Source organism: Homo sapiens, chromosome 12 (genome assembly GCF_000001405.40).
Source record: "Homo sapiens chromosome 12, GRCh38.p14 Primary Assembly".
NCBI lineage: Eukaryota > Metazoa > Chordata > Mammalia > Primates > Hominidae > Homo > Homo sapiens.
This window is the reverse complement of record NC_000012.12, coordinates 93,474,168-93,488,779: the sequence shown is the minus strand read 5'-3', so window position 1 is coordinate 93,488,779 and position 14,612 is coordinate 93,474,168. Positions and strand designations below refer to the sequence as shown.

Here is a 14,612-nt window from a genome sequence, read left to right as displayed (position 1 = left end):
ATCAAAAAGAGGAAAACTAATTAATGCCAGAGTCAAATGGCAGGTAAGAATCGATGGAAAATGTGAGTATTTGCAAACATCAGGGCAATTACAGTTTCCAAGGGAACTGAGAACAACATACGCTGCCCAATCATTTTCTGTACCCCAATGTTTTTTTCGATAACTCAAAATATGATAAAGAAATTGATAAAGGGCTGAAGACACAATCAATTACTTAACAGGAAAATGAACAAAAACAACATATTAAATGAATACATCATAGAATGTAAAAATTTTCAAGAACTCTTACAAAATTCACTGAAAGCTCTGGTTAAATTCCCCCATTAAAATAAAGAAAAAAAGAAGTACTATTTCATTTTAGCTAAATTATATGTAAATTTAAAAGTACAGTGGCAGTGGCTCATTCTTACAATCCCAGCTGAGGGAGGAGGATCACTTGAGTCCAGGAGTTTAAAATCAGCCTGCGCAACACAGTGAGTGAGACCTTGCCTCTACAAAAGAAGAAAAAAGAGCCAGGCTCGGTGGCTCACGCCTGTAATCCCAGCACTTTGGGAGGCCAAGGTGGGTGGATCACAAGGTCAGGAGTTCGAGACCATCCTGGCTAACACGGTAAAACCCCGCCTCTAATGAAAATACAAAAAATTAGCTGGGCATAGTGGCATGCGCCTGTAGTCCCAGCTACTCAGGAGGCTGAGGCAGGAGAATCGCTTGAACCTGGGAGGTGGAGGTTGCAGTGAAACGAGATCTCGCCACTGCACTCCAGCCTGGGTGACAGAGCAAGACTCTTTGTCTCAAAAAAAAAAAAAAAGAACAAAATTAGCCAGGTGTGGTGGCACATGCCTGTAGTACTAGCTACTCGGAAGGCTAAAGTGCGAAGATCACTTGAGCACTGGAGGTTGAGGCTGCAGTGAGCTGAGATTGTGGCACTGCACTCCAGCCTGGGTGACAGAGCGAGATCCTGTCTCAGAAAAGAAAAAAAAAGTACAACATAGTAGGTGATTCTACTTAGGGTTAATTTCCTCATGCAAAACACCACTTCAGAAGTTTGTTATTGCAAGAAAATCCATGTGTTCCTTTACTGTATGTAGTAGGGATTGAAGAAAAGAAAAGAAAACTTACCGTCCATGAGGATACCAACGGTGCTTAGTAGTAAAGAACATTTTGCTAAGTTGTTCTATCATAGGTCCTTCCTCAAGGTGTTCAACTTTTTCTTCCAATCTGGTTTTCAGCACTTGATCATGTGTTTCTTCATTATTATGCACAGGATCTGGCCGAGGGATAGGCTACAAAATAATCAGTAACAAACATCATGAAGATGTGGGAATGTTAGCCAGCATTTGTTTGAGATCACAATAAAACAATTACCATATTCAGTAATTCACTATAGTACTTTAGGGTGGGCAAATAAGTTATCAAAACAAAGTTTCACTTAGTGCATTATTCATTAGTCAGAAATATTTTTCTTCTCACAGCAAATTTTAGGTTTCTTTTCCAATAATAAAGTTCTTATTTAGGCCAGGTGCAGTGAGTGGCTCATGCCTGTAATCCCAGCACTTTGGGAAACCAAGGCAGGAGAATCACTTGAGCCCAGGAGTTCCAAAGCATGGGACCAGCTTGGACAACATGGTCAGACAAAAAAAATTTAAAAACTATCTAGGTGTGATGGCATGCACCTGCAGTCCCAGCTACTCAAGAGGCTGAAGTGGGAGGATCACTTGAGACCAGGAGGTCGAGGCTACCTGTGATCACACTACTGTGCTCCAGCCTGGGTGACAGAGTGAAACCCTGTCTCAAAAAAGAGAAAGAAAAATAGAAAGGCCGGGTGTGGTGGCTCATGCCTGTAATTCCAGCACTTTGGGAGGCCAAGGTGGGAGGATCACTTCAGTTCAAGAGTTCAAGACCAGCCTGGGCAACACAGCGAGACCGTGTCTCTACTACAAATAAAAAAAAAAGAAAAAAAGAAAGCCCTCATTTAATGTTCTTATTTTCTGCAGTAATAAAGTACTTATTACTTTAGTTTCTGTTTCTCAAAGGTATAAATTATGCCTATTATTATTTTTTAACTTAAAAGTTTACCATTTACCTTTTATATCATTAAGATGAGAAATAATTAAAAACTTTTCATTGAAAATGACATTTTTTGGCCGGGTGCGGTGGCTCACGCCTGTAATCCCAGCACTTTGGGAGGCCAAGGCAGGTGGATCACCTGAGGTCAGGAGTTCAAGACTAGCCTGGCCAACATGGTGAAACCCCATCTCTACTTAAAAATTAGCTTGGTGCGGTAGCGCACACCTGTAATCCCAGCTACTCAGGAGGCTGAGGAAGGAGAATCGCTGTAGCCCAGGAGGCAGAGGTTGCAGTGAGCCAAGATTGCACCATTGCACTCCAGCCTGGGCGAAAGAGCAAGACTGTCTCAAAAAGAAAAAAGAAAGAAAATGACATTTCTTACATCCAATGGAAGCAGAAAAATTTTCAACATTTTCATTTCAGGTGACTAAAATGCCACCAAACAGTGCTTTATTGTAATTTAAATAGCTTTCCCCCAAAGTTAATGATTACTAAAAATCTTATCTCCTCAACACACATGAATGATATACAACATATTCCACCAGTAATAGTGACTCACTAAAGACTTTAAGAATCAGTGTCTTGGCCAGCTATGTGGCTCACATCTGTAATCCCAGCACTTTCAGAGGTCAAGGTGGCAGAACCACTTGAGCCCAGGAGTTTGAGACCAGCCTGGGCAACATCTCTACAAAAAATTTAAAAACCTCATCTCTACAAAAAATTTAAAAACAAAAAATAAATTAGCCAGGTGTGGTGGTGCATGGCTGCAGTCCCAGCTACTTGGGGTCTGAGGCAGGATGATCTTTTGAGCCCAGGAGTTCAAGGCTGCAGTGAGCCATGACTGCACAGTACCCTCCTGCCTGAGCAAGAGTGAGACCCTGTCTCAAAACAAAACAAAACGGAAAACAAAAGGAATCACTATCTTGGAGGGTCAAGTTACCTATATTTTAAATATTAAGTGATATTAAGGTATGTAACAAAGATTGTAACATTCAATACTATATAACGCTATCATAATGAAAGTAACATATTCAATAATAATATATATGTAACAAGATTGTAACACTGCCTTGCTTTAAAATAACAATATGTATGTATTATAATACAATGAAAATCTGAATTTACAACCAGTAAGAAACAATTCAAACATATTTTCTTTACATTCATACGCTATTAGTGACAACTACATTCTACCACTGTATTAAATATTATAGCATATATTTATATCTAGTTTATGCACATGAAACAAGACCTCTTTAAAAGGCAATGTGGCCAGGTGCGGTGGCTCACATGTGTTAATCCTAGCACTTTGGGAGACTGAGACAGGCAGATCACTTTGAGCTCAGGAGTTGGAGACGCTGTCTCTACAAAAAATACAAAAAATTAGCCAGGCATGGTAGCTCACACCTGCAGTCCCGGCTACTCAGGAGGCTGAAATGGGAGGATCACTTAAGCCTGGGAAGCTGAGGCTGCAGTGAGCCAAGATCACGCCACTGCATTCCAGTCTTGGTGACACAGACAGACCCTGTGTCAATTAAAAAAAAAAAAAAAGGCAATGTGGGCCACGTGCAGTGGCTCACACCTGTAATCCCAGCACTTAGGAAGGTCAAAGTGGCAAAGGAATGCTTGAGCCTAGGAGGTTGAGACCAGCCTAGGCACCATGGTAAGACCCCCCATCTCTGTTTATATATATATATATATATATATATATATATATATATATATATATATATGTGTGTGTGTGTGTGTGTTTTTTAAAAAGCAATGGAGGTGGCACAATTAAGTAAAGTCATGGGCTGCATAAGAATGTTTTGAGGCCGGGCGCAGTGACTCATGCCTGTAATCCCAGCACTTTGGGAGGCCATGGTGAGCGGATCACATGAGGTCAAGAGTTCATGACCAGCCTGGCCAACATGTTGAAACTCTGTCTCTACTGAAAATACAAAAAATTAGCCAGGTGTTGTGGTGCATGCCTGTAACCTCAGCTACTCGGGAGGCTGAGGCAGAAGAATCGTTTGAACCCAGTAGGCAGAGGTTTCAGTGAGCCAAGATCATGCCACCGCATTCCACCCTGGGTGACAGGGCAAGATTCTGCCTGAAATAACAATGTTTTAGTCAACAATGTACAGTGATGAAGGACAGTGTATACTACAGTGGTACCATAAGATTATCATGAAGCTAAAAAAATTCCTGTCACCTAGTGATGGTGCAGAACGCCATAGTGCAATGCATTGCTTACATGTTTGTGGTGGTGCCAATGTAAACAAACCAACTGCACTGCCAGCTGTATAAAAGTATAGCACATACAATTATGTATAGCACATAATACTTGATAATAATAATAAATAACGGCAGGCTACAGTGGCTCATGGCTGTAATTCCAGCACTTTGTGAGGCTTGAGCTCAGGAGTTCAAAACCAGCCAGAGTAACATGTAGTGAGACCCCGTCTCAACCAAAATAATTAAATAATAAAAATAATAATAAATGACTAGGCAACTGGTTTATGCATTTACTATACTATATACTTTTTATCATTATTTTAGAGCGTACTCCTACTTGTTAAAAAAAAGTCAATTGTAAAACAGCCTCAGGCAAGCCCCTCAGGAGGTATTCCAGAAGAAGACACTGTTATCATAGGAGATGACAGCTCCAGGCATGTTACTGTACCTGAAGACCTTCCAGTGGGACAAAATGTGGAGGTAGAAGACAGTAATATTGATCATCCTGACCCTGTGTGGGCCTAGACTGTGTTTGTGTCTTAGTTCTCACAAAAAAAGTTTAAAAAGTGCAAACAAAAATTTTAATACAAAAAAGCTTATAGAATAAGGATATAAAGAAAATATTTTTGTATAGCTGTACACGATATTTTAAGCTAAGTGTTATTACAAAAGAGTAAAAAAGTATTAAATTTTTTTTAAGTTTATTAAGTTTAAAAGTGACAGTAACCTAAGGTTAATTTATTATTAAAGAAAGAAAAATATTTTTTTAAAAATTTGGTGTAGCCTAAGCATACAGTGTTTGTTTATAAAGTATACAGCAGTGTACAGTAATGTACTAGGCCTTTACACTCACTGACTCACCCAGGGCAACTTCCAGTCCTATAAGCTCCATTTTTGGTTAAGTACCCTATACAGGTATATTACATTTTATCTTTTATAGCACATTTTTATTGTGCCTTTTCTATGTTTAAATACGTTTAGATACATAAATATTGACCATTGTGTTACAATTGCCTATAGTATTCACTACAGTAATATGCTGTATACGTTTGCAGCCTGGGAGCAATAGGCTATACCATAAAGTCTGGGTGTGTAGTAGGCTACACCATCTAGGTTTGCGTAAGTGACACTCTATGATGTTCACGTAACAATGAAATTGCCTAACAATGCATTTCTCAGAACATATCCCCATCAGTAAGCAATGCATGACTGTACTACAGAAATGCAAAGTAACAAAGATATCAGTGAAAAGTAGAAAGGGAGACAAGCCAGATCCTTGTCACAAAAACCAGAATGGGGCCAGGTGTGGTGGCTCATGCCTGGTAATCCCAGCACTTTGGGAGGCCAAGGCAGGCAGATCACTTGAGGCCAGGAGTTAGAGACCAGCCTGGCCAACATGGCGAAACCCCCTCTCCACTGAAAATACAAAAATTAGCCAGGCGTGGTCACGAGTGCCTGTAATCCCAGCTATTTGGGTGGCTGAGGCATAAGAATCGCTTGAACCTGGGGAGGCATGGAGGTTGCAATGAGACAAGATCACACCACTGCATTCTAGCCTGGTTGACAGAGTGAGACTCTGTCTCAAAAAAAAAAAAAGAACCAGATTGGGCAAGGTACAGTGGCTCATGCTTGTAAGCCCGGCACTTTGGGAAGCCAAGGTGAGAGGACTGCTTGAGTCCAGGAATTCAAGATCAGTTTGGACAACATAGTGAGACCCTGTCTCTACAAAAATTTAAAAAATTAGCTGGGCATGGTGGTGTGTGCCTATAGTCCAAGCTACTCATGAGGCTAAAGTGGGAGGATTGCTTGAGCCCATGTTACTATTATTCTACTAATAGTAACATGTTCTCAAGAGTGTTTCTTATTTTGCAGCCCAATCTACAATTTATTGCTTGACAAACAAAAACTTTCCATGCTTTCTGATGTGAATGTCTCTTAGCCCTAAAACAAAAAACCCTTAAGCATGAAGAGGAAGGAACAACTTCATTCACTTAATAGAAAAATATTTATTGTGCACCTACCAAGTTCAAAGCGTTATTCCAGGTGCTGAAGACCAAGCAGGGGAAAAAAACACACAAGGCCCTGTCCTCATCAAGCTTACATTTTAGTGATGGGAGATAGCCAGAAAACATCCAGTATGCTAGAAATGATAAATGCTGTTGAGAAAAGTAAATCAAAGGACAACAAGGAGTGCAGGAGCAGAGGTACAACTTTAAATGCAGTAGCCAAGGAAGGCCACACAAGATAACAAATAAGGAAAAAGACCTTAAGGAAAGAGAGTAAACTATGAAGTAAAAGCATTCCAGGCAACGGAAGCAGGAAATACAAAAGCTCTGAGTGGAGAGCTCACCTAATACAGCTGAAGAACAGCTGGAGTTGTGGTCAGTATGGTGGCAGTGGGGTGATTACTTGAAAACTTGTAGGAGTGATTACTTACCTAAACTAGAGAGATGAATATTGATGATGTGGCAGAGAAGATAATTGTCAAAACAAAGGAAACACAACAAAGAAAGAGGATGCAGGGGAGGTGGTCATGTGTACAGAGGAATGATGATAATGATAAACCATGATATCAGTCTGTGCTGGGTTAAGTAGGGAGTGAGAATGTGTGAGATACATGAGGGACTGTGAAAAAGTGGTTGGATCAATCGATGTAGGTTACAAAGAGGGAATGAATAATTCTTGGAGCTGGGAGACCAAGAGGGACTGGTAGTTAACTATTGGATTTCTTAAAATTTAGACTGGGAAGGAGGAGTAGCAATTACTGGTAATTAGAATATCTCTAGGGAATCATAGGGAATCCTCCCATGGAAGTGGGTAGCTGATGTAGAGAGAGATCAAGAAGTGAGACACCATGGTATTAGATCACCTACATGGATATTGAAGTAAAAGAATGAGGGTAAAACAGTATTGGAGAAAGTGTGACAGCAAGCTTAGAATATTCAAGGAAGTGCAGAGTGGTGGAGGAGGAGAAATAACCTGGCAGTTGGTAGATAACAGCAACAAAAAAAGATAGTAAATGATGCAGTTTAATGATACAAGCTACAAAGCTAGAAATTGTTAGGAAGGAAGAGAAATGATCTAGATTTGACAGTGAAGAGCTACAGAGATACCTTCCCCATCTTTAGACCCAGTGGTAAAAGAGTATGCGAGAGAAAACAGCAACTACTTAAAAGAACTGCTGGGGAAGTAACGTCTCCAGGGTACAGGCAGGTTTCTATTAGAGTCAAAAGGTGAAGGCAACATTCTGGAATAGGCTAAGATTGTAAGAGATTTTGCCAAGGGTAGTAAGTTCTACAAGTACAGTGGGAAAGTTTTGACAGTTGAGGAGGGTCAGATTCAGAGATATAAAGAGCCATTTGGGGATAAGAGTCTGGATGCTATGAAATGACCTGGCATTCTTAGTATAATTGCTAAAACACAGCAAATAAACCGAAGATATTTAACAAAATAACAATGGACAAAGGCACAACATAGTGTGACCTGGAGGGTTTATAGGCCAAAACTCAGTGATGTAGGCCTATTTTTCTAAACGTTGCCCAAATAAGTGATAAAAAAGAGGCACTGAATTAGTACCTATGATACCTGGCTTTTGTTTCCTAACAAAGCAGGGAGACAAAATGGTGAGTTTAAAAAGGAATACAGAAATTATTTGTCGGGCGCGGTGGCTCATACCTGTAATCCCAGCGCTTTGGGAGGCTGAGGCAGGCGGATCATGAGGTCAAGAGATCGAGACCATACTGCCCAACATGGTGAAACCCTGTCTCTACTAAAAATACAAAAATTAGCCGGGTGTGGTAGTGCACGCCTGTAGTCCCAGCTACTTGGGAGGCTGAGACAGGAGAATCGCTTGAACCCAGGAGGCAGAGGCTGCTGTGAGCCGAGATCGCGCCATTGCACTCCAGCCTGGGCAACAGAGTGAGACTCAGTCTCAAAAAAAAAAAAAGAAAAGAAATTATTTGTCAAATCAACCGGCACCCTGACCCTAATGATGATTTTTCAAAATAAGTACCACTAAATACATCATGTGATGACTTAAACCATCTAATTTTCTCCTCAAAAAGCAAATCAAGGCCGGGCACGGTGGCTCATGCCTGTAATCCCAGCGCTTTGGGAGGCCGAGGCAGGCGGATCACCTAAGCTTAGGAGTTCGAGATCAGCCTGGGCAACATGGTGAAACACCGTCTCTACTAAAAATACAAAAATTAGCCGGGCGTGGTGGCAGGTGCCTGTAGTCCCAGGTACTCGGGAGGCTGAGACAGGAGAATAGCTTGAACCCAGGAGGTGGAGGCTGCAGTGAGCCGGATCACGCCACTGCACTCCTGCCTGGGTGACAGAGTGAGACCCTGTCTCAAAAAAAAAGCAAATCAAACATTACCTAGTAGAAGGAGGCTTAAAGAAATAGGAAAAAGCATTTCAAATACAAAACAATAAAAAGACTTGGGTCAAACTAAAAATAAATTATATTAAAAACAATACAAAATCCTCTTCTATCTAGTACTTGGCTTTTTAAAAAATAGGGAAAAAAATCTAACTGGGCCATTCAAAATATATACCTATGTTGGCCCATTAAAACATAAAAATAAAGAAATTCACCAAATGTTAAAAAAAAAAAAAAACTGTCAGAACCAATAGTAAAAAAGTAGCTGTAATCCCAGCACTCTAAAATACAACTTTCTCATAATTGTCTAGATTATAATATGGGGTAGCATGGGATAATGCATTTTATAATTTTATACTAGATGTATTTGATCCTTAACCAGAAATCTACCAAATTTTTTAGACCAGAAAACTGATGCCATAATTGTGTTTAAATGGTTCATTTTGTATTCTGAAAAAAGACTGTAAAGAAAGCAGATGAAAAATAAATAAGAGAAAAATCAAAATAGTAAAATTAAAAAGCCAAAAGAAAATCTAAAACAAAGAAAATCAGATGACTCCCTTCTTTTTGGATACTATAAAGAAGTGCAAACATTTCTAACAGCAAATTAAAAACTGCAAGAAATTTTCTCATACATACTTTTGTGTGTTCATATGGAATGTCCACAGAAGGGTGGTAGCATACTATTGTCCTGCCATCAGAAGTCAGAGCAAGCTCTACGTTGCTAAAAAAAAGAATGTTTTAGAAATAAAGTTATACTGTATTCAAGGCAAAATGATTACCTTTTTTTTTTTTTTTGAGATGGACTCTCACTATGTCACCCAGGCTGGAGTGCAGTGGGCACTCCAGCCTAAAGCTAAAATTAGTGCCCGGCCTAATAATCATTCTGGGCCCAGCGTGGTGGCTCATGCCTGTAATCCCAGCACTTTGTAAGGCCAAGGTGGGCAGATTGCTTGAGGTCAGGAGTTCAAGACCAGCCTGGCAAAACCCCGTCTCTACTAAAAATACAAATATTAGCCAGGTGTGGTGGCACACACCTGTAGTCCCAGCTACTCAGGAGGCTGAGGCAGGAGAATCACTTGAACCCAGGAGGCAGAGGCTGAAGGAAGTCAAGATCACGCCACTGCACTCCAGCCTGGGCAAAAGAATGAGACTCCATCTCAAAAAAATAAATAAATAAATAAATAAATAAATAAATAAAAGCTAAAATTAATCACAAATTGCTGAAGATACTACATCACTGGATTGGCAAACCTGGTACCCATAACACAGGACACAAATGAAGACCATCCCACAGAATATGTCAGCTTAAATACCACAACAAAATACATTTGTAGCTAACAAAGAATAGGCATTAGATTGTTTCACCGTGGTTTCAAGATTGAATACCATAACATGGCTACAATGAACATTTAATCTGTCAAACGATTTCTTCACGAGAAGATAGTTTTATATAATGCAAAACACTTATATGACTCAGTCTTTCCAGGTTCAAAAACTGTTACCTATTCCAATTTCATCGCTATTATAGTACTCATTAGATGTACAATTAAAACTAGTATCAAGGCCAGGCGTGGTAGCTCACATCTGTAATCCTTATACTTTGGGAGGCCAAGGCGGATCACTTGAGCTCAGGAGTTTGAGACCAGCCTGGGTAACATGGAAAAATCCTGTCTCTACAAAAAATAAAAAAAAATTAGCCAGGTGTGGTGGCACACACCTGTAGTTCCAGTTACTTGGGCAGACTGAGGCAGGAGGACAGCTTGAACCTGGGAGGTTGAGGCTGCAATGAGCTGACATAGCGCCACTGCACTCCAGTCTGGGTGACAAAGCGAGACCCTGTCTCAAAAATAAAAGGCCAACCATGATGGCTCACACCTGTAATCCTTGTACGCTGGGAGGCCGAGGGAGGCAGATTGCTTGAGCTCAGGAGTTTAAGACCAGCCTGGGCAACATGGTGAAACCCCGTTTCTACAAAAAATACACAATTAGCTGGGTGTGGTGGCACACACCTATAGTCCCAGCTACTTGGGGGGCTGAGGCAAGAGGATTACTTGAACCTCAGAAGTTGAGGCTGCAGTGAGCTGAGATTGTGCCACTGCATTCCAGCCTGGGTGACAAAGTGAGTCTCTGTCTCACAAAAATAAAAGGTCAGGTGCAGTGCCTCATGCCTGTAATTCCAGCATTTTGGGAGGCCCAGGTGGGCAGATTACCTGAGGTCAGGAGTTTGAGACCAGCCTGGCTAACATGGTGAAACCCCATCTCTACTAAAAATACAAAAATTAGCCAGGCATGGTGGCATGCGCCTGTAGTCTCAGCTACTCAGGAGGCTGAGGCTGGAGAATCTCCTGAACACAGGAGGTGGAGGTTGCAGTGAGCCAAGATCACACCACTGCTCTCCAGCCTGGGTGACAGAACAAGACCCCATCTCAGGTTGCAGTGAGCCAAGATCACACCACTGCTCTCCAGCCTGAGCGAGAGAACAAGACCCCATCTCGAAAACAAAATAAAAATAAAACTAGTGTCAAGAGAGAAGAAAAAATATTTTTATTATAATTTGTAATAAAAACAACATAGATTAAGAAAATAGGTTGCAGTTTCTGCATATCAGACTCTGCTGCAGAGAAAAAAGACAATGTCATATGTTATTCCTAGTTCTTATCATAGTGACTAAATTGAATAAGTACCAAATAAATGGTGGCTAAATTAAGTATGTATAATTTAGGATTATTCAATATCAAACAAAAGAAAAGATAATAATGGCTTAAGCTAATAGATATGAACCCTATAAAAACTAATTAACTTTTCCAAAAAGCTAAAGCATGCTTCAGGAAGAAAAGATAGCAGTTCTAAACAGCATGTCTGTCTTATAACAAATTAAATATTCAATGAAACACAATGACAATGATTTTTATTTAAAATGTTTATAAGCCCAGATACTGGGTAAATAAAATCATTAAAATAATTTTTAAAAACAAAATTAAGGAAAGAATAATGAGAAAAGAAAGCATCAGACATCAAAACAAGAAATAAAATTAAATCATTTCAGCTATAGCTAAGACTATTATTTCTTCAATTGAATTTTAATACATACCAATTATAGTCATCTGGTAGAGGAGAATACGTAGATTTATGACAAACACAATATAAAGCTCCATCTGCAAAAACCCCAAACAGTAAAACAGATTTGGTTAATTTGAGCATATTTTCTCCATAAATTTAAAGCTAGTTTTACTCATTCAACCAACATTACTGTTTAGTATGAAACAGGCCTGTGCTAGGGGCTAGGGATTCAACAACAAACAAGACTCAGTCCCTACCCTCAAAAGGGTATAGTCTGCTTGTGAGAGAGACAGACAAACAATTACAACATAGAGGATAAGCACTGTTAGGAATGGTAAACATTGGCAAAGATGGGCCACACAGAAAGGCTACCAAACAAATTGTGCAGGTTCAAGAAAGCCTTTTCAGTGGAGATGATGTCCAAGGTGCTCTGAAGAATGAGAAAATAAGTAAGGATTGATAAGAGATGAAAACAATGTTTCTAGCAGAGTGAGTAAAAGGCGCAAGGACTCCAGGTAAGAAAAAAAATAAAAGTGTTTGGGTACTCCAGCCTTTCCAAGAAAGAACTTGAAGTATCTGGGGCCAGGCACAGTGGCTCACGCCTGTAATCCCAACACTTTGGGAGGCCAAGGTGGGCAGATCACCTGAGGTCAAGGAGTTCGAGACCAGCCTGACTAACATGGTGAAACTTTGTCTCTACTAAAAATACAAAATTAGCCAGGCGTGGTCAGCTACTCGGGAGACTGAGGCAGGAGAATTGCTCGAACCCAGGAGGCGGAGTTTGCAGTGAGCTGAGATCATGCTATTGCACTCCAGCCTGTGCAAGAGCGAAACTCTGTCTCAAAAAAATAAATAAAAATAAAGTATTTGGGTTTTCCAAGGTGCATAGTTTATAAAGGGGGGGTGGTGGTGGTGAAGTGATGAAATATGAAATGATTTGTTTAAAATTAACTTTTCTTAATCAAAATGCTTACATTTTAAAGCATATTTTCCTTTTTTAGAATACCTGCAAATTCAAGAGCCAAAATTGTTTTTCTTTTTTTGTTGTTGTTGTTTTGTTTTGTTTTTGAGACGGAGTCTTGCTCTGTCTCCCAGGCTGGAGTGCAGTGGTGCGATCTCTGCTCACTGCAAGCTCCGCCTCCCAGGTTCACGCCATTCTCCTGCCTCAGCCTCCCAAGTAGCTGGGACTACAGGCCCCCACCACGCCTGGCTAATTTTTTTGTATTTTTAGTAGAGACGGGGTTCGCCGTGTTAGCCAGGATGGTCTCGATCTCCTGACCTCGTGATCCACCTGCCTCGGCCTCCCAAAGTGCTGGGATTACAGGTGTGAGCCACCGTGCTCAGCTATAAACTGCTTTTTTAAAAGCTTGTGAAAGATTCTCCTATGTTCAAAAAAGGGTATTCTTTTAATATAAAGAAAAAAATTTAAAAGTAGCTCAATATAGTTAAAAGCAAGTTTTGAATGCACCTTGGTCAATGCCAAGAATCAAAGTCTCAACAGAGCCTCTTGTTCCTGTGATATAGAACTGTAACCTATCCTGCCTTCCCTATCTCCATGCCTTTACCATGTCCTCAGTATGGAATTCCAGCCCCATTTTGTTCAAATACCCCTCATCCTTAAAAGTCAAATATTCGCCAGGCGCAGTGGCTCATGCCTGTAATCCCAGCACTTTGGGAGGCCAGGGCAGGTGGATCACTTGAGGTCAGGAGTTCAAGACCAGCCTGGCCAACATGGTGAAACCCCCTCTCTATTAAAAATACAAAAAATTAGCCGGGTGTGGTGGTGCATGCCTGTAATCCCAGCTACTCGGGAGGCTAAGACAGGAGAATCACTTGAACCCGGGAGGCAGAAGTTGCCGTGAGACAAGATCGTGCCATTGCACTCCAGCCTGGGCGAGAGTGAGACTTCATCTCAAAAAAAAAAAGGTCAAACACTCTTCTTCCATGAAATCCTTTTTACTCTCCCTGCCCCCAAGGTTCTTCACAGAAGAAAGAGTTGTCTATCTCAGCTCATTGCAACCTCCGCCTCCCATGTTCAAGCAATTCTCCTACCTCAGTCCCTCGAGTAGCTGAGATTACAGGCGCCCACCATGTCCGGCTAATTTTTGTATTTTTGGTAGAGACAGGGTTTCACTATATTGGCCAGGCTGGTCCTGAACTCCTGACCTTGGGTGATCAGCCCAGCCCGCCTTGGCCTCCCAAAGTGCTGGGATTACCAGTGTGAGCCACTGCACCTGGCCATATTTTATTTTCTTGTTTGACATCACTGGGACCTTCCTAATTATGCATGGATTGGGTTAATATTAAAAGAAGTTTATAAAGCTAGGCATGGTAGCTCACGCCTGTAATCTCAACACTTTGGGAGGCCAACACTGCTCAAGGCCAGGAGTTTGAGACCAGCCTGGGCAACACAGTGAGATATTATCTTTAAAAACTATTTTTAAAAATTAACTGGGCATGGTGGCATGCACCTATAATCCCAGCTACTCAGGTGGCTGAAGCTGAAGGATCACTTGAACCTAGGAGGGTGAGGCTGCAATGAACTATGATTGTGCCACTGAATTCTAGCCTGGGCAACAGAGCAAAATCGTTTCTAAAAAAATTAAAACTGGTGGGGTGTGGTGGCTCACTCCTGTAATCTCAGCGCTTTGCGAGGCCAAGGCAGCAGGATCGCTTGATCCAGCAGTTCAAGACCAGCCTGGGCAACATAGTTGGGTCATATAGTGAGACCCCATCTCTATTAAAAAAAAATTAATAATAAAAAATATAAATTAAAAAAAAACAATTTTGTATCTCTGAATATAAACCAACTAGATGATATACATTTTCACTGAAAGAAACATGACTGGGTGACAGAATTAAGTGTTCTGAAATATGCAGA

The 14,612-nt window shown here is 40.8% G+C and overlaps 1 protein-coding gene across 5 annotated transcripts in view; it reads right to left on the bottom strand.

Annotated features, from left to right (window-relative positions):
- Positions 1 to 14,612, bottom strand: part of MRPL42 (mitochondrial ribosomal protein L42) — a 48,701-nt gene that overhangs the window by 27,435 nt on the left and 6,654 nt on the right. For all 5 annotated transcript variants that reach the window (NR_038159.2, NR_038161.2, NR_038160.2 and 2 more), the window contains 3 exons: positions 11,763 to 11,826; positions 9,308 to 9,392; positions 1,120 to 1,283 (listed from right to left, as the gene is read on the bottom strand). Coding sequence is in view for 2 of the 5 variants with exons in the window: in NM_172177.5 (NP_751917.1) it covers positions 1,120 to 1,283; positions 9,308 to 9,392; positions 11,763 to 11,826 (313 nt within the window). In the remaining 3 variants the exon portion in view is untranslated. The remainder of the gene's footprint in view (positions 1 to 1,119; positions 1,284 to 9,307; positions 9,393 to 11,762; positions 11,827 to 14,612) is intronic.